Genomic DNA, 20,262 nt, shown 5'->3' with positions numbered 1-20,262 from the left:
GCCAGGGCATGGACAGATAGGTAGTCCTGTCTCCACTTAGAGTTTGGAAATTGACACCAAAGAGAAGTGACTTGTCCAGGAGGAGAGGGAGCTGGTCACAGAGTTGGGACTAGAATTCATTTATTTGTTCAATAAGAATTTACGGAGCACCTATCTTATGCTGAGGTCTTTTCCTTGAGCCACCTTGGTGCTTTGGGCTGAGCAGGCTCTGGAATGACACAGGTCTGAATTCAAGGCCTGGCTCTGCCATTTAGTAACTGTGTGACCTTGGACAAGTTTGTGCCTCTCATAGCCTCGATCGTCTCATCTGTGACTTGGGGGTAATAGTGCTAATACACCTTTCCTAAGGGGATGTTGCAGTAACTAAAGGAGAATGTACATGCAAAGCACTTAGCATAGCCACAAATAAATGATGCTACTGGAAGAGGTGGGAGCTTAGAGCATCCAGGAAGAGCTTGCTGTTTTCACTACAAATCTGGTCCACATAGGCCGAGTGCGGTGGCTCACACCTGTAATCCCAGCACTTTGGGAGGCCGAGGCAGGCAGATCACCTGAGGTTGGGAGTTCGAGACCAGCCTGATGGACATGGTGAAACCCCATCTCTAGTAAAAATACAAAATTAGCCAGGTGTGGTGGCTCATGCCTGTAATCCCAGCTACTCAGGAGGCTGAGGCAGGGAATCGCTTGAACCCGGGAGGCAGAGGATGCGGTGAGCCAAGATCACACCATTGCACCCCAGCCTGGGCAAGAAGAGCGAAACTTTGTCTCAAAAAAAAAAAAAAAAAAATCTGGTCCACATTCCAGGAGCTCTTTTAAAGAGGGAGAGATGACACATGCCTGCCCTGACCTCACCTATGGCCTCACCCAGAGTCTTGTCTGTTTTTTGTTTTGGAAGGGGACTCAATCGCTCTGGGCCATGGAGATATAGCACATTTTTTGTGCCTTAGAGAGGCCTGTGGCTGTGTATGCATGTGCATCTGTGTGCCTAGGTGTATGCACGCACACATACACACCTGCTGTTCAGGAAGCTGACCGAGGATGCCCTTGGCTAGCCCATCATGTCACCATGGAAACAGATGCTCGGCTTAAAGTCGCCACTGCCTCAAACATGAGGTTTCCTGCATAAGCAGAAAACTGAGCTTTTGGACACGGGGAGGGACATTCATGGCAGAGAGATGCTTAGAGGTGACCCATGTCTCTCTCACAGTGCCAGCGAGGCCCCTTCCTGCTTGCCACATTTGATTTTTTTGATCTTAGTACAAAAGGCAGGATTGGTTTCTGTTTGTTTTGTTTTATAACAGCTTTATTGAGATATAAGTCACACACCACATGACTCATCCATTTAAAGTGCACAGTTCGGTGGTTTTTAGCCTATTCAGAGTTGTACAACCGTCACCAGAATCAATTTTAGAACATTTCTATTACCCCAAAAAAGAAATCACTATTTTCACCCCAGCCCCAGGCAACCAATAATGTGCTTTCTGTCTCTATAGATTCCACTATTCTGGGTATTTTATATAAATGGAATCATACAATATGTGTCCTTTTGTGTCTGGCTTCTTTCACTCAGCATAATATTTCCAGGGTTCATCCCTCTTGTATCATGTGCCAGTGCTCCGTTACTTTTTATGGCCAAATAATATTCCATTCCATGGTAGACCACAGTTTGTTTCCCCATTCATCTGTTGGTGGACATTTGGGTTGTTTCCACTTTTTGGCTACAGTGAATAATGCTGCCATAAATATTCATGTATAAGTTTTTATGTGGACATATGTTTTCCTTTTCTTGGATATTTACCTAGAGTGGAATTGCTGGGTCATATGGTAACTCTATGTTTAACTTTTTGAGGAACCGCCAAACTGTTTGCCACAGCAGCTGCACCATTTTACGTTCCCACCATCAATGTACGAGGGTTCCATTGCTCCACACCCTGAACAACACTTGCTGCTGTGTGTCTTTTTAACCGCCCCAGTGAGTGTGAAGTGGTATCTCATTATGGTTTTGATTTGCATTTCCCTAATGACAAATGATGTTGAGCATCTTTTCATTTGCTCGTTGACCATTTGTATAATCTTTTTGTAGAAATGTCTGTTCAAGTTCTTTGCCTTTATTATTCTTACTATTTTTTTAGAGATGGGGTCTTGCTATGTCGCTCAGGCTGACCTTGAACTCCTGGGCTCCAGCCATCCTGCCAACTTCACCTCTGGAGTAGCTAGGTCTACAGGTGTACAGCACCATGCCCAGCTCCTTTGCCAGTTTTTGAATGGGGTTGTTGTTTCTCTGTTGTTGCATTGGAGGAGTTCTGTATATATTTTGGATATAAGTTACTATAAGATATATTGTATATAAAAATTCTCTCCCATTTTGTACGTTGTTTTTTCACTTTCTTTTTAGTGTCCTTTGAAGCATAAAAGTTGTTAATTTTGATGAGGTCCAGTTTATCTGTCTTTTCTTTTGTTGCTTGTGCTTTTGGTGTCATGGCTCCAAAACGATTGCCAGTTCAAGTTCATAGGACTTATGCCTATGTTTTCTCTTAAGAGTTTTATAGTTTGAGCCCTTACATTTAGGAGAACGTGTTTTTAATGAGCTGTTGGCAGCAGCCAGTGAGAAGGTGGCGTCCTCTGGGGAGTCTGTGGACTTGTGCATTGCCCAGGAGTCCCACCAGAATCCCTTCTGCCTCGCCAGCTACCTCTAACCCTCCAGCTTGTGGCCCAAACATGTTGCTTCCAGTCCCTGGCCCTCAGTTTCCCCATGTATACCACAAGTAGGTCATCTTGAGGATGTCTTTGTAAGTGTCCTCCTGGTTCCATTTTTTGCCTTCTCTAGAGATGGCTCTGGTCACGTGCACCTTCTGCTCCACCCAGAAGAGCCCTGAATCCATGGGCCTTGGCTCCTGCATGCACACACACGCCACATGTGTGTGCACGCATGCACGCCTGCGCACTGACATTCTGAGTGGCAGCTTCAGTGAGCCCCTCACAGGGAGCACAGCCCTCAGTTCCCTGCGCCATACACCAAGTCCAGGAGACACATTTCTACCCTGGGGTCAGGCTCTTTGGCAGCAAGGGCCACTCCTAGCTGTCCCCTCCCTCCAGTGAGCTGGCCCCAGCCCAGCCTGTGCTTCGAACTGCCTACCTCATTCAGCTGTGCAATAAATTCCATGTCAGGGCTAATGGGCAGGAGAAGCTGCTGGCCCAGCCAGGAGACAGAGTCATGCCCCTGTGGCAGGGAGCTGGGAGAACAAGCAGAGCACAGCCCGCCTTGCTTGGTCCCAGCGGGGCTCTGGGGAGGGAGGTTTGGGTGGAGGGCCCTGGGGGAAGAGGCAGGGCACATCAGATCCCTGAGTGTAGATGTGGCATCTGGCCGGTGCCCCTCCTTCAGGAACAGACCTCCCCTTCCCCTCAATTCCTGCCAGACCAGCTACCCACCATGCCTGGTGCCTATTAGGTAGGGGTTGGGGGTTCTGATGCACATGCAGGTTTCTGCAGTTTAATGCAATCTGTGGCTGCTTCTCTGTCTCTGCACTACCACAGTCACTCATGGCCTGGGAGACTTGGCTCCAGTACTCTGTGCCTCAGTTTCTTACTTGTGGAGTGGGGAGCATGATCCCACAACATCTCAGGGCTCTGAAGTGCAGAGAACAGGTGGGTGCAAAGGCAAGTTGTAAACTGAGACAGGGTCAGGAGATCTCCTGCTTGGGGCTCTCATTCATGCTCTTTGCCTCCCTTGGTAGCCTCTTTTTCCAGGAAGCCCTCTCTCCCTGCCTGCATTGGCTCCTGATAATGACAGTTGAGCAGTTGTGGCCGCTATCTGAGTCTCAGCCCTAGTGTGCACGAGGAGCGCTGGTGTCTGATGCTCTGTGGGTCTTCCGAGCGGTCTTGGTGCCTATAGCTATGAAAAGGGCCTTCCTCCGCAGCCGCATCCTGATCAGAGGCACAGCTGAGACCCAGCTGCACTCCTCTGCCCTGTCCTTTTAGCCCAAGTGCTGACATCAATGGCTGATCCAGGACCAGAAAAAGGCTGAGCGGAGAGCCGTGCTGCCTGGCCCCTCCTCACCGCCCTTCCCCGCACCTCTTGGCTGTACCGGGAGCCTCTGAGCACCGGAAATGAAGGGTTTTCCAGGCCTGGCTCTTCACTCCATCCTTCAGGGGAACTTTGAAGCCATGGAGACATCTGGCTTTGGAGCCATGGCGATTCCCCTGCCACTCTCCTTGCTGGGATAAAGCCAGGGCGTGGCATCCTGGGATGATGTTCCCTGCTGCTGAGTGTGCACACAACCTGAGCTCATCCTGTGTACGTCAGCTACACATGCTCGCATCTAATTTTCTCAACAACCTAGCCAGTACTATTGCTTCTCCTCCTCTTACAGATGGGGAGATGATGACATATAGAGGTTAACTTATCAGAGACCACACAGAAAGAAAGAAAAAGAGGAGGGTTTGTACCCAGACATTTGAACCACAGAAACTATGCTCTAAGCCCGCATGTTCTGCCACCTCCCTGAGAGGGAGCCCCTCTTGGACCCTGATAGCTGAAGGTAAACTCCATGCCCCACATCCTCAGGGAAGGGCAGCTTGCTGTTCAAGGGGAATGGTCTTCACCTGACACCGCAGTGGGGCTTGATTTAGAAACTGTGATTCCCAGGCTGAGCACAGAGGCTTACTCCTGTAATCCCAGCATTTTGAGAGACCAAGGCACTCTACAAAAAAATAAAAAACTAGCTGGGTGTGGTGGGGTGCACGCCTGTAGTCCCAGCTACTCTAGAGTCTGAGGCAGAAGGATTGCTTGAGCTTGGGGGGTCAAGGCTGCAGTGAGCCATGATCATGCCATTGTACTTCAGCCTGGGGGACAGATTGAGACCCTATCTCATAAATAAATAAATAAACTGAAATTCTCAGCAGGTGGGTCCTCAGTAAACAGGGCTGGGGCCCCTGTGGCCCACATGGTAAAGATGTGGCTCCCTTTTGCCTGGACCTTGTGGCCTCTACCCAGTTTGAGCACAGGACATGTTTGGGCACAGGGTAAGGAGCAGATCTCAGCCCATGGGCAGGGTGGGTGGCTGCGCAGGGGCATGGGGCCTCTATCCCACCATGGTGGGCAGGAAAAGGCTGAGTCACTGGTCTGTAGTGTACCAAGTGTACCTGGGCTCACTAATCACTTTCTTTTTTTTTTTTTTTTTTTTTTTTTTGAGATGGAATTTCGCTCTTGTCGCCTAGGCTGTAGTGCAATGGCATGATCTCAGCTCACTGCAACCTCTGCCTCCTAGGTTCAAAGATTCTCCTGCCTCAGCCTTCCAAGTAGCTGGGATTAGTGGCACCCACCACCACGCCTGGCTATTTTTTTTTATTATTGTTTTTAGTAGAGACAGGGTTTTGCCATGTTGGCCAGGCTAGTCTCGAACTCCTGACCTCAGGTGATCTGCCTGCCTCAGCCTCCCAAAGTGCTGGGATTACAGGCATGAACCACTGTGCCTCGCCCACTGACCACTTTCAACTGCAGCCCGGCCTCTCCCTTCTCTCCTTTGCCCTCAGCTACCAAGATTTCATGTTCATAAAGCCGCTAAGTACCTGGCCTACCTGCTGAGCACAGAGGCATCTCCTGCTGCTCCCGGAGCTGGGGGCCTCACCTCCTATCTAAACCCAGGAAAGAACACCCCTGTGGGCAGCTGCCCATGCCAGGGGATCTCCCATTCTCTATACATGTACCAGGACGTTCTTCCTGGGACCCAGATTAGATTGTGCTCCTCTCCTGCTTAAACCCTTTCCTTCCCTTAGCATCAAAACTGTGCTCCTTTTATGGCCGGGCACAGTGGCTCACTCCTGTAATCCCAGCACTTTGGGAGGCGGAGGCGGGCAGATCACTTGAGGTCAGGAGTGTGAGACCAGCCTGGTCAACATGGTGAAACCCCATCTCTACTAAAAATACAAAAATTAGCTGGGTGTGGTGGCGCGTGACTATAATCCCAGCTATTCGGGAGGCTGAGGTGGGAGAATCACTTGAACCTGGGAGGCGGAGGTTGCAGTGAGCCGAGATCATGCCATAGCACTCCAGCCTGGGTGACAGAGCCAGACTCTGTCTCATCTGTCTCAAAACAAATAAACAAACAAAAATAAAAAAATAAAAAAACTTTTGTGATATGGCTTCTGCCTAGCTCCCAGGCCCTTCCCTGCCACTTCCTGCCTCGCAGGCTACACCCAGGCAACTGAGTCCACACGCTTCCAGGGCTCCCTCTAGACACAGACCTTCAGCTCTGTCACCTGCCTCCCTACCCAGCATATCTGTCCTGTCCACCCCTGCCTGGTGAGTGCCTCCCCACCTCCCAGCTCCCCTGCAGGTCACTTTCCCTGACCCCCCTGAGGCTGAGTGAAGGCCTCCCCTCATGTCTTCTAATCACATGATAGTTGTTCTCTTTGGGGTAGGTCTTCCACGTACTCCAAGTCTGGAGCAGGGATGATTCTTCCCAAAGCAGACCAGCCTGGACAATGACATCTCTTTCTTCTACTTTCTGTGAACTCCTCTGGGTGAGGGCTGCACAGGCCCTCCACTGGGTGGGGGATTTTGCTATTTGGGGTTATTTCAGCTTTAACTATTTGGCTGATGGGGCTTGCGGCTTTCCTGGAGGGAGAGAGGAGCGCTTGCTCATTCTCAGAGACCCTGCTGCCTGGCAAGAGTCAGCTCATAGTGGTGTGCTGGAGCTGTGTCAGGGAGATGGCTGAGTGGCAGGGCCCTCATCGGCCTGGTGTTCTAAAGGTGGGGTGCTCTGAGCAGCCTGCAGACTTTTCTTTCCCAGTTTCATTCCTAATTCTTTTTCACTTTTTATTCAAGTGTTGTATATATACAGAAAAGTTTATGATTCATAAGTGTCTACCCTGATGGTCTTGCAAAAAGTGAATATGCCTGTGTAACCAGCACCAGGCCAAGCAACAGAACATTCTTCAGCAAACCCCTCAGGCCCCCTTGACCCACGGGATTTTGAAATAACTTGACAGCTACTTGAGCTATAATTCATACACCATATAATTCACCCACTTAAAGTGTACAGTTCAAAGGTTCTCGGTATATTCACAGAGTTGTGCAACCATCACCACTACCTAATTCCAGAGCACTTTCATCACCTCAAAAGAAACTTGTACCAGCCAGGCACGGTGGCTCATTCCTGTAATCCCAGCACTTTGGGAGGCCGAGGCAGGTGGATCACTTGGGGTCAAGAGTTTGAGATCAGCCTGGCCAACATGGCAAAACTCTTTCTCTACTAATAATATAAAAATTAGCCAAGCTTGGTGGCACACGCCTGTAATCCCAGCTACTTGGTCAGCTGAGGCAGGAGAATCACTTGAGCCTGGGAGGCAGAGGTTGCAGTGAGCTGAGATCTCGCCACTGCACTCCAGCCTGGGAGACAGAGTGAGACTCTGTCTCAAAAAAAAAAAAAAAAAAAGGAAAGGAAAGGAAAAAAAGAAAAGAAAAGAAAAAGAAAAAGGAACCTGTACCAGCCTGTAATGCCAAAGCTCTGGGTGGTTGAGACAGGAGAATTACTTGAGGCCAAGAGTTTGAGACAAGCCTGGGCAACATAGTGAGACTCCATTCTCTACAAAAGAAAATTTTTTAATTAGTTGAGCATGTCTGGGCGTAGTGGCTCATGCCTGTAATCCCAGAACTTTGGGAGGCCGAGGCAGGCGGATCACTTGGGGTCAGGAGTTTGAGACCCCAAACTCCTGGCCAACATGGCAAAACGCTGTCTTTACTAATAATACAAAAATTAGTCAGGCATGGTGGTGCACACCTGTAATCCCAGCTGCTTGGGAAGCTGAGGCAGGAGAATCGGTTGAACCTGGGAGGCGAAGGTTGCAATGAGCCTAGATCGTGCCACTGCACTCCAACCTGTGTGACAGAATGAGACTCTGTCTCAAAAAAAAAAAAAAAAAAAGAAAAGAAAAAAGAAAAGAAATTAAAAATTATTAAATTATTAAATTATTTTAAAAAATTAACCAGATGTGGTGGAATGGTCCTGTAGTCTCAGCTACTCAGGTGGTTGAGGTGAGAGGATCACTAGAGCCCAAGAGTTAGAGGTTACAACAAGCTGTGATCATGCCAGTGCCCTCCAGCCTGGGTGACAAAGCAAGAGGAAAGAGAGAAAGAGAAAGAGAGAGAGAGAGAGAGAGAAAAGAGGGAGGGAGGGAGGGAGGAAGGAAGGAAGGAAGGAAGGAAGGAAGGAAGGAAGGAAGGAAGGAAGGAAAAGTGAGAGAAAGGGAAGAAAGAAAAGAAAATGAAGGAAAGGAAAGGAGGGAGGGAGGAAGGGATGGATGGAGGGAGGGAGGGCCCTGCGCCCATTAGCATCACTCTTCATTTCCCCCATGTTCCCCAGCAGCAGGCCACCACTAATTCACTTTCTGTCTCTATATATTTTCCTTTTCTGTACTTTCCATGTAAATGGAATCACAGGATATGTGGTCCTTTGTGTCTGGCTTGTTTCACTTAATAGAATCTTTTCAAGGTTCATCCATGTTGTGGTATGTAGCATTACTTCATTCCTCTTTGTGACTGAATAATATTCTATTATTGTATGGATAGACCACATTTTATTCATTCATCTGTTGATGGACACTTGAGTTGTTTACAGCTTTTGACTAGTGTGAATAATACTGCAATGAACATTGGTGTACAGGTTTTTCTGTGAATACATGGCAGCAGCTGGTAGGGCTGGAGTCATCTGAAGGCTTGGTGTACAAGTATCTGTTCAAGTCTCTGTTTTCAGTTATTTTGGGTGCATACCCAGAAGTGGAATTGCTGGTCATATGGTAATGCTATGTTTAACTTTTTGAGAAAGTGCTAAACTTTTTTTTTTTTTTTTGAGATGGAGTCTCACTGTCACCCAGGCTAGAGTGCAGTGGCACAATCTCGGCTCACTGTGACCTCTGCCTCCTGGGTTCAAGCAATCTCCTGCCTCAGCCTCCCAAATAGCTGGGATTACAGGCATGCGCCACCACACACGACTAATTTTTGTATTTTTTTAGTAGAGACGGTGTTTCACCATGTTGGCCAGACTGGTGTCGAACTCCCGACTTCAAGTGATCCACCTGCCTCAGCCTCCCAAAGTGCTGGGATTACAGGAGTGAGCCACCATGCCTGCCCTGCTAAACTATTATCTTTTCTTTTTTTTTCTTTTTTTTTTTTTGAGATGGAGTCTCACTCTGTCGCCCAGGCTGGAGTGCAGTGGCACAATCTCGGCTTATTGCAACCTCCGCCTCCCAGGTTCAAGCGATTCTACTGCCTCAGCCTCCTGAGTAGCTGGGACTACAGGCACACACCACCATGCCCGGCTAATTTTTGTATTTTTTTAGTAGAGACAGGGTTTCACCATGCTGGCCAGGCTGGTCTCAAACTCCTGACTTCATGATCCAGCCACCTCAGCCTCCCAAAGTGCTAGGCTTACAGGCGTGAGCCACCGCACCTGGCCTACTAAACTATTTTCAACAGTTTTACATTCCCACCATTTTATATTCCCACCAATAGGGTTCCAGTTTCTCCACATGCCAACCAGCATTGATTCTTTTTTCTAGGTTTTTTTGAATACTAACCACCTTAATGGGTGTGAGGTGCTATCTCATTGTGTTTTTTGTTTTTTTGTTTGTTTTTGAGACGGAGTCTTAGGCCGAGGCGAGCGGATCATGAGGTCAAGAGATCAAGACCATCCTGGCCAACATGGTAAAACCCCATCTCTACTAAAAATACAAAAAATTAGCTGGATGTGGTGGTGGGCACCTATAGTCCCAGCTATTTGGGAGGCTGAGGCAGGAGAACCACTTGAACCCAGGAGGCGGAGATTGCAGTGAGCCAAGATCATGCCACTGCACTCCAGCCTGGTGACAGAGCGAGATTTCATATCAAAAAAAAAAAGACAGAATCTTGCTCTGTCACCCAGGCTGGACTGCAGTGGCGCGATCTTGGCTCACTGCAACCTCTGCCTCCTGGGTTCAAGCAATTCTCCTACCTCAGCCTCCCGAGTAGCTGGGATTACAGGAGTGTGCCACCACGCCCAGCTACTTTTTGTATTTTCAGTAGAGACGGAGTTTTACCATGTTGGCCAGGCTGGTCTCTAACTCCTGGCCTCAAGTGATCTGCCTGCCTCGGCCTCCCAAATGGCTGGGATTACAGGCATAAGCCACCACACTTGGCCCTCATTGTGGTTTTGATTTGCACTTTCCTAATGAATAGTGATGTTGAACATCTTTTCATTGCTTATTGGCCATTCGTATATCTTCTTTGGAGAAATGGCTATTCAAGTCCTTTGCTCATGTTTGAATTGTGTTGTTTTGTTGTTGAGTTTAGGAGTTCTTTATATATTCTGGATACAAGTCCCTTATCAGATACATGGTATGCAAATGTCTTCTCCCATTTGGTGGGTTGTCTTTTTCTCTCTTCATAGTGCTCTTTGATACACTAAGGTTTTTAATTTCAGTTAAGTCCAGTTCATCTATTTTTTCTTTTGTTGCTTGTGCTTTTGGTGTCATATTTAAGAAAGCATTGCCAAATCCAAGGTCATAAAGATGACCTTGTTTGCCCCAGTTTTCTTCTGTTTTATCATTTTGTGATTTTATTTCTTTTTTTAAACTACCATTTCTCAAGCATCTTATAGTTTTATAGTTTTAGTTCTTATTTGTAAATCTTGGATTCATTTCGAGTTTTTGTATCTGCTGTGAGATAGGGTCCAGCTTCATTCTTTTACATGTTGTTATTCAATTGTCCCAGCACCATTTTTTAAAGACTATTATTTCCACATTGGATGGTCTTGGCACCCTTCTCAAAAATTAATTGATCATAGATATATGGTTTATTTCTAGACTCTCAATTATATTCTGTCTGTCTGTCTGTTGATCTATTTGTCTATCCTATCCAGTGCTACACTTTTTTGATTACTGTAGTTTTGTAGTAAGGTTTGATATAGGGAAGTGTGAGTCCTCCAGCTTGGTTTTGTTTTGTTTTCAAGATTGTTTTGGCTCTTCCGGGTCTCCTGTAATTCCATATGAATTTTAGGATCAGCTGTTCCATTTCTACAAATAAAGCTGCTGGGATTTTGATAAAGATCGCATTATATCTGTAGGTTGTTTGGGGCAGTGTCGCCATCTTAACAATATTAAATCTTCCAATCCATCAACACGGGATGTCTTTCCATTTATTTAGAACTTTAATTTCTTTCAGCAACATTTTGTAGTTTTAAGTGCACAGGTCTTTCACCTCTTTGGTTAAATATATTCCTAGGTATTTATTCTTTCAGAGGCTATTATAAATGGAATTGTTTCTTAATTTTCTTTGACATTGTTCATTTCTATGTGTCATTTTGTATTCTGCAACTTTGTTGAATTTATTTATTAGGTCTAACAGGCTTTGGTGGAGATTGTTTAGCATTTTCCATATATAAGATTATGGCATCAGGAAATCGAAATAGTTTTACTTCTATCTTTCCAATTTGGATGCCTCTTATTCTTTTTGTTTGTTTTGTTTTGTTTTGTTTGTTTTTTGAGACAGAGTCTCACTTTGTCACCAAGGCTGGAGTGCAGAGGCGTGATCTCAGCTCACTGCAACCTCTGCCTCCCGGGTTCAAGCGATTCTCCTGTTTCAGCCTTTGAGTACCTGGGGCTACAGGCATGTGCCACATGCCTGGCTAATTTTTCTATTTTTAGTAGAGACAAGGTTTCACCATGTTGCCCAGGCTGGTCTCAAACTCCTGACCTCAAGTGATCTGCCCACCTCAGCCTCCTGAAGTGCTGGGATTATAGGCGTGACCCAATGTGCCCAGTTGCCTCTTATTATTTCCTTTTCTTGTCTAATTGCTTTAGCTAGAACTTATAGCACAATATTGAGGAAAAGCAAATAAGTGGGCATCCTTGTCTTGTTCCTGATCTTGGGAACGCTTTTAGTCCTGGGACAGGTGGGAGTCAGAATATAGGACTTGTGTGTGCAGCACTAGGTCTGGGAGAGGGAGTCTGTGGCCCCTTCAGCCTCTTGCACAAGCCCTGGCATATAGATTTGGGGGCCTGGAAGTGACACAGGAGGAGCCAGCCTCGTTGACCAAAGCCCCTCCTCCCTTTCCACACCCCTGGGCCCAGTCTCCTGTGCCCCTTCCCTCCTGAAGAGTGCTCTGGCCCCACACACATTGCAGGTGCTTTTGTCCCCACAGAAGAAGAGCCGTAACGAGACATATGGCGAAGGCAGCGGCGTGGAGATCCTGGAGAACCGGCCGTACACAGATGGCCCAGGCGGCTCTGGGCAGTACACACACAAGGTGTATCATGTGGGCATGCACATTCCCAGCTGGTTCCGCTCCATCCTGCCCAAGGCAGCCCTGCGGGTGGTGGAGGAGTCTTGGAATGCCTACCCCTACACCCGAACCAGGTGCGCCTGCTTTGGCCTCCATGTGCCTCCCACCTCCACATGCCATCTGGCGGGAAGCAATCTTGTGGCATAGATCCAGGGGATGGGATCAGCCTTCAAGCAGGTTCAACAACCCATAACCCCAGGGAACCCAGGCTTTGTTCCATACAGGTGCCCCGAAGGTCACCTAGGGCAGGCACAGGCAAGAGAGGGAAGGATATACCCCTAGATGCCTCCTGACTGCCTACGTGTGGAGGCCATGAAGGCGTGAGTCAAGCGAGGGCTGTTGGAGACTCCTTTGCCATTCCAGAAGATGCAGGGAATGTAAACCCACTTCAGGCTCCCTAAGAAGGCTGAGACAGCCTTCTGGAAAGAAACTGAGGGTAGAACAGATGACCCAGAAGTCCCTTCCAACTCTGAGACCTTCAGCTGCTGTGACAGTGTTGTCCCACATCCCATGCTGAGCAGGGCTGTCCTTGGGATTCCCTGGCAGAGGGTTCTTCACTCTGTGCCCTGCAGTGTGTAGCTTATCACTGCTGAGTTGAATAGATGGGAGCTGGTCCCACAAGCTGTCTACTGCTGAGCAGGTGGGGTCCCCACAAATCTCCTGGGGCTCCCTTCCCCACGCTGGTGGGCACCTGGAGCTTGCTGAGGGATCCACGGAGCTTTTTCCTCTTCCCAGTAGTACTTTCCCCTCTAAGCTCATCTCCAGCCTAGAGAGAGGCTATTCCCCCATTGTCAGAGCTGGCTTCTTGGGAACTAGAGGTGGCATGCCCCATGGAGCACCCCAGCTTCCTCCTGCTTGGCAGTATGCTGCCATAGCTGTGCCCGTGTTCCTGCCATGCTGTGGACATTGGACATGGGGCTTCTAGAAGCCACTGAGGATACACTGTCTTCTGCTCCCCCTAAATCCTTCCCTGCCCCCATCCTGGCTGTTCTTGGGACAAAGTGGCGATCCAAGAGGTGGACAGGGCAGGCAAGTCTCGGCTACCCTCCACCCTCCTTCCATGCCCGCTCACCAGCTCCACTCCTACCCAGTGGGTCAACAGGCCCTGGCCAGGACACTGGGCCTCTCCAAGGACAGGTCCTGATGAGTGCTTTCCTTTCCGCACAGGTTCACCTGTCCTTTCGTGGAGAAATTCTCCATCGACATTGAAACCTTTTATAAAACTGATGCTGGAGAAAACCCCGACGTGTTCAACCTCTCTCCTGTGGAAAAGAACCAGCTGACAATCGGTAACCAGGAAGGGCAGAGCCCCACAGGGCTGTACTCTGGGTTTCCTACCCACAGGTCCCTCTTGTCCTGCCCCTTTTCCCCACACCTGGTAGACTCCAGACCTGGCCCTGTCCTGGGCAGGCAGGTCAGAGTTGGAGCAAGCATGGGGCCCATGGGGGAGGCAGGGCAGGCCTTCTCAGCCCCATTCTCCTGATATATACACCAAGTCCAAGTGCCTTTTCCACCCAGAGCTGCTTCCCTCCATCCCTTTGCGGGATCCCTACTCCCCAGAAGTACATATGGGCTCGGGCATCCATCTCTAGCTGACAGCCATGCACAAGTGCCCCCGGCACATAATGGGGTCTATGTCCTCTTGATGGTGGGTGCCCTACCCACTACCTCCAGATGACAGTGACATGTAGGGGATGGGCCCCATTTGTTAAATCTTCATTTTCAAGAGAAGCCAGTGATAAGGATGTTCATGAGAAATCTCCCAATACTAAATGTTAGCAACCAATTAAAAATCTTTGTAAATAAATGTATGCCAGTGAAACAAAACACATATGTGGGCCAGTGCAGCTCAGCAGCCACCCTCCTGCAGCCTCTGGGTACAAGGCCCAAGTCACTGTGGAGGCATCTCAGGCAGGGCATGCGGGTTGGGGGTGGGTGTCCATGGCCCAGGAGCTGCTCCAGGCCCAACCCCCCCACCTCTGCTGGGATTTCCTGGGTCTGCGAAACAAAGCGTCATAGCATGAGTGGCTTGCACAACACACAGTTATTCTCTCGGGGCTCTGGAGGCCAGAAGTCTGAGATCACAGCATGGTGGGTTCTTCCCCCTGGGGAAGACTCTGTTCAGGCCCCTTCAGTGTCTGCTTGCCGGCAGTCCTTGGTGCTCCTTGACTTGTAGAAGCATCCCTCCAATCTCTGCCTCGTTCGTCACATGGTCACTCCCCTCTGTGTCTGTCTACCTCTTTGTCTCCTCTTCTTATAAAAACACCAGTCATACTGGGTTAGGACCCACCTTAATGGCCTTACTTTTAACTTGATTACCTCTTTGAAAACCTTATCTCTAGATAAGATCACATTCTGAGGCACTGTGTTCAGTACGTCAGCGTAGGAATTGGGGTTGGGGTGTACATAGCTCTTCCCATAGCAGGCAGCCCTGACACTGCCAGAGCTCTGCAGGCTCCCTCTGAGGCCAGCTGCCATGGGTCCTAAGTCTCTGTGACATTTCCCATGCAGGGTCTTTGCCGGCTCACATGGGCAGGGCATATGGTCTGCTCCAGGAAGAGTGCTCATCCCTCCTGGCATTCTGTGGTCCTCAGACTTGCTCCTGACCCTGCTGATTTTGGTGGAGCTGATGTCTGTGTCTGCAGTCTGCAGCCTGGATACAGAGGGGCCCACACATTGGAGAAAATGAGGCAGCCAAGGGCCTGGCTAGAGCAGAACCGACCGCAAAAAAGGGTTCTGTGAGCCACAAACCCTTTACTGGGGCTCTTTCTCACCCAGTGAGTGCCCCAGTCCTGCCCAACACACATGTGCCTCGGGAGTGAGCACACAGGAGGGCTCTGAGATGCTGCTGTGGAGGGGAAGCCTGTGATCATAAGTGGCCTGGCCTACGTCCTGCCCAGAGCCATCACCCATCTTCTTGTCACCCTCACCAGGTCCTGTCAGCCCCTAAGCCTGTTTTCTGCACTCCTACCTCTGTGGCATCTGCCCCTGCTCTCAGGCCTAGCCTGGAGCAAGCTTGGCCAGACACCCCCTGTAGGCCTCTTCAGACATCTCTTCCGGTCTCTGTCCAGGAAGGCTTTTCCAACAGGCCAGCCTGCCTGCATCCCTCTCAGCCTCAGATCTATACCTGGGTCCACTTGGCTCTCAGGGAACTGTCCGGTCTCCTAGCTTGGAGAGAAGTGGCCGGCATGTCCAGGGCATCCCCATTGCTCTGTGACTGCTGCCATCCTTCTCCTCACGCAGACACCCTGGTGGTTCCTTCCCCAGAACCCCCCACCTCTTGTTCAAGGGCCGGTGCTGCTGGGACATTCTTGACCTCTTGATTCCACCCCTCTGGCTGAAACACCGTCTTTGTGGGAAGCTTTTCCTAGCCTTCTCTTCTGTTCCTCCCACCCTGTATTCTTCATGGAAATTCATCTCCCCAGTGTTTCCTCATTGCCTTATTTATCTGCTTTGCCAAGAGGTAGGGTGCACTCAGAACATGGGTTTTGCTGAAATGACTTGAAAAGGCAACAAGGGGCCAGGCTCGTTGGCTCATACCTGTAATCTCAGCACTTTGAGAGGCTGAGGTGGGAGGAGTGCTTGAGCCTGGGCAACATAGCAAGACCCTTATCTGAATGAATGAATGCACCAAGGAAACTGCAGGCCCCACTGTCAGGGATTTTGAGGTCAGAGCTGCCCAGAACATGATCCTCACTCCCAGGGTCCCTCTGGCAGGGCAAGGCCCAGAGTCCTGGGAGGATTTGGGGGTGGAGGAACATGGAGAGATGTGGGTGGGGGTTGAGGTCAGGGCAGAAGTGGCCACTCTAAGGGTTTACCCACAGACTTCATCGACATTGTCAAAGACCCTGTGCCCCACAACGAGTATAAGACAGAAGAGGACCCCAAGCTGTTCCAGTCAACCAAGACCCAGCGGGGGCCCCTGTCCGAGAACTGGATCGAGGAGTACAAGAAGCAGGTCTTCCCCATCATGTGCGCATACAAGCTCTGCAAGGTGGAGTTCCGCTACTGGGGCATGCAGTCCAAGATCGAGAGGTTCATCCACGACACCGGTGAGCACACCCATGCCAGGTGGGCAGTGGCTGGGCTACCCAACCCCTCTGTCTCCTGTCACCTGCCTGTCTGCCTCCTCTCTTTGCATGTCTGCCTGGGAGTCTGCGTTTCTGTTTTGTTCTGGGAAGGTGACACCAAAGCCCATGTCCAGCTTCCCCACTACCCGCCAGCCATGGGTTATCTTGAACATCCATGAATACTTACTGAGCATCTGCAGAGACAAGCAGTGTGTGTTGTTGGATGAAGAAGCCCTAGGCACTGCCCCCAGACATTCCTGACCTAGTTCGCATTTGATAAAGAGTAGCCCACACTCCACAGGTCTGAGTAGCCCCTGGGGACAGGTTCCCTGCTGCTCATCTGGGCCTCTGGGCTCCCAGGCCTTTGTTTCCTCTACTCAAGGAGGCCCAGAACCCAGGGCCACAGCTCAGCCTCCCTCACTGGGCTGGAAGCTCCCAGGAGCAGGGTGTCTCAGACATCATAGTGGCCTTCACACCCACACCAGCCTAGCCAGAGTAGGTGCCCATGGAACAGGTAGACAGCAGATGGCCTGGGGGTCCTGGTGCAGTGAGTGCCATTTCCTCACCTAGAGCCCTAAACCCCCCTCTGCCGAGGTCATAGCATGATGTCATTCCAAGAGCTGGTTCCGGTCCCTGAGGCCCATGACCCAAAAGGCACCCCAGCCAGACACCTTGTGATGCCATGAGCAAGGGTGACTTTATTTAAGATTGAACAGAGCCACACTGTTGACAGTACATATCACGCTTGTCACGTAAGCTTACGATAACCCATGAGGGTAGGCATTGTCACTCCACTTATGCAGGAGGAAGCAGAGACCCAACACTGGGGCTGAACTAGATCTGCCTCCCATCCCAGCCACCCTTGTCCTGAATTAACATCCTCCTGTTCTTAGCATCAGTAAGGGAGGTGTCTCACTAGACAGCCATGTTCAGTGTTGGGGCTGTGACCCCAAGGGAAGGGTGGATGTGTACCCGAAAGGATTGGGGTCCAAGGACGCGGTCTTCCACTTGGAGAAGCGAAGACGTGGACAGGGCCTCGATGGGTGTGTTGGTGTCACCACCTCCATCCCCAGGGCAGAACACTCAGACACATTGTCCACCATTCTTTTTCCAGAAGGGCTGCTGCGGTGTCAATCAGCAGCTGGGAGAGGTGGCAGGAAGAGAAGGAAGCTGTCCCATCCATTGAGAGGGATGCATTCCCACAATCCATCTCTCTAACCCCATGGGAGCTTAGATTGGCCCAAACCTGCCTCTCTCCATTACCCAGGGCTCACAGACTGGGACCTGCAACCCCAGTGCTGAAGCCTCAAAATGGGAATGGTGGTTCTCACTTCCCAGGCAATATGAGGAGTGGAGGAGCATGTGGGCAGGACTGGGAGGGGCTCCCCTATCCTGGGCAGGGCGTCCCCTACCGCCCTTCTCGACCTCCAGGAACCTGAACACATCAGCGCTGGTGACTCGTCCCACCCTCTCCTCAAGGCTTCTCTAGGTTCAGCCCTGCACAGGACACCCAGCAGACCTACTAAGGCTGCAGCTCCTGGCACTCTGGCTCTGTGGGTCTGCTTGGCTCTCCCTAGCCCTACCCAGCAGCTGAGATCCTGGCCAAGCTGCAGAGACTCCCCAGCTCCCTGAAAGTCAGTTCTCCCCTCAGAAAGCAGGAGCTTGTGGCTGGTGGGAAGAAAGAAGACAACTTTAGAGTCCAGGCCTGACTCACACGTAGTGGCTCTGTGGTCTCTCAGCCTCACTGAGCTTTGCTTTTCTCTTCTGTAAAATGGGTGTAATGACACCGATCCTATCGGACTGTTGTGGGCCGAGACCGTGGGTTCAGAACTGAAGATGGGGTGTGGCACATAGGTGGAGCTTGATGACAACTGTGAGTACTAGTCCTATAATATCACGGGGATGATCTCGTGAACTCATGTGAGCTACGCTGGGCTTCTTGGGGGCCTTGAGGAGGCAACTCCTGGGGGTTGGGACAGCTCTCAGCTGTCCTCATTACTGCCTGGCCCCAGATGTAGTGCATGTCCCAGCCCTTCCGGTCACCCCAGGAGGAGGCATTTCCCTATATAGGGTAGAGCAAGGGATGCGGCCCTTCCTGGCAGCCCTGTGAGGCCAGCAGACAGTCCCAGAAAAGGTAACCAAGGCTCTTCAGTGTGCCACATCTGAGGCCACCCCTGGGGCTTGGGCAGGGGACACAGGACTCCATCCCACAGAGAGGTCTTTAAGAATGGATGGGATTTAGAAAGGAAGGCTGAGCAAAGCCAGGGGTGGGAAGTGAGGAGGCAGGAAAAGAGGGTACACAGGAGACCAGCCTGGGAGCCTGGCGTGGCCCAACTGCTTGCAAACCCGCTCAGCATGCTCTAGGGGAGGCGGGGGTACATGCCCTGAGATTGCTTCTCCCAGGTTTGTCCCCTGGAGAAATCCCCATGCCTGTTCTGGAATGTTCATTCAGAGCACCAGGTTTATGAAAGCAAAATGGAGAAACAATGTAAATTAGCCAAAGGCCCATTGGCAGGAAAAGGAATCAATGAAATGTGGCATTTCACACACACACGGATGCCACACAATCCCAGCTTGATGAGCCAAAGCCCCCACGCGTGCATCCATGGACAAAACTCACCCAGAGAAGCAAGTGGCAGAAAAATACAGCGTGACACATAGATGCGGAATTCAGCAACAGCCATACCAGCCTGATACAGTGTGCAGGAAAACACATCTGTGTGCTGAGACCAGAAGGCAAAACGCATGACAAGCAAAATTCGGGGCCAACTGTCAGGGGCCAGGCGAGTGGAGGGCTCCCTGTCGCCGGCGATGGTGTGTTTCTTCGCTGGGGCTGTGGATGTGGATGTCTCATTGCTTTTTAATGTTTTTTAAACAGCTTTATTGAGGCATAATTTTAGATTCCATATGATTCACTCATTGTAAGATAACAGTTTGGTAAGTTTTAGTATATTCACAGCTGGGCACAACTTCAGAGCATTCATCACCCCAGAAGGTCCTTTGTTCCCATTTCACTGTCATCCCCATCCCACCCTGGCCCAAGGCAACCCCCAGTCTGCTTTTAGTCTTTATCATTCTATTATTATTATTATTATTATTATTATTATTATTACTATTTTGAGACAGGGTCTTACTCTGTCACCCAGGCTGGAGTGCAGTGGCATGATCATGGCTCGCTGCAGCCTTAAACTCCTGGGCTCAAGCGATCCCCCCACCTCCACCTCACAAGTAGCTGGGACCACAGACACACACCACCACGCCTGGCTAATTTTTTTTTTTTTTGTCTTTTCTGGTAGAGATGGGGGATCTCCCTGTGTTGCCCAGGCTGGTCTGAAGCTCCTGGCCTCAAGCCATCCTCTCACCTCAGCCTCCCAAAGTGCTAGGATTACAGATGTGAGCTACCATGCCTGGCCCTTTAATTGTTTTTTATACTTTAAAAGGTATATATTCTTTACTTTATTCTACATCTTAATTTATATGTATAATATATTCTTATATATCTCACGTGCATAATATATTCTACTAAAAGCTTTTTTTAAAAAAACAAAAGAAAAGGAGAACCAACCCAGTTTGAACTTGAACTTGATTTTCCGTGGGAAATTTAACAGGAAAAATATAGCAGACACTGAGACACGAGACTCTCAGGAAGTCCTATTCTACCTCCCCTGTGCAGGAATCTCCCAGAAAATTAACTGTGGCTTCTTATTTATTTATCGATTTAGAGACAGGGTCCCACTCTGTTACCCAGGCTGGAGTGCAGTGGCACAATCATAGCTCACTGCAGGCTTAAACCCCTGGGCTCAAGTGATCCTCCCACCTCGGCCTCTAGAGTAGCTGGGACTACAAGCGCACACCAGCATGCTCAGCTAATTTTT

General features: G+C 49.8%; 1 protein-coding gene and 1 non-coding gene across 32 annotated transcripts in view, besides 1 other annotated feature; both read left to right on the top strand.

Annotated features, from left to right (window-relative positions):
* The window catches only part of PITPNM2 (phosphatidylinositol transfer protein membrane associated 2), a 168,369-nt gene that overhangs the window by 125,630 nt on the left and 22,477 nt on the right, over positions 1-20,262 (top strand). For 20 of the 31 annotated variants that reach the window (XM_047429206.1, XM_047429208.1, XM_047429216.1 and 17 more), the window contains 3 exons: positions 12,177-12,391; positions 13,485-13,606; positions 16,142-16,369. In XM_047429206.1, the coding sequence (XP_047285162.1) occupies positions 12,177-12,391; positions 13,485-13,606; positions 16,142-16,369 (565 nt within the window). Of the gene's footprint in view, positions 1-4,370; positions 4,539-12,158; positions 12,392-13,484; positions 13,607-16,141; positions 16,370-20,262 lie in introns of all 31 variants that reach the window. The other 11 variants (XM_047429215.1, XM_047429211.1, XM_047429204.1 and 8 more) reach the window with 3 other exon arrangements.
* Positions 13,737-14,657: an enhancer, noted in NCBI's record as "H3K4me1 hESC enhancer chr12:123496109-123497029 (GRCh37/hg19 assembly coordinates)". NCBI's record gives its function as "activates a minimal SCP1, AML or CMV promoter by ChIP-STARR-seq in naive H9 embryonic stem cells {active_cell/tissue: H9 hESC(naive)}" and the evidence as "EXISTENCE:reporter gene assay evidence [ECO:0000049][PMID:30033119]".
* MIR4304 (microRNA 4304) lies at positions 15,491-15,552 on the top strand. Its single transcript, NR_036187.1, has one exon. It is a non-coding gene; the product is annotated as a microRNA 4304 (primary transcript).

Source organism: Homo sapiens, chromosome 12 (genome assembly GCF_000001405.40).
Source record: "Homo sapiens chromosome 12, GRCh38.p14 Primary Assembly".
Lineage (NCBI taxonomy): Eukaryota > Metazoa > Chordata > Mammalia > Primates > Hominidae > Homo > Homo sapiens.
Note: the sequence above shows the minus strand (reverse complement) of the source record. Positions and strands in the feature narration are given on the sequence as shown.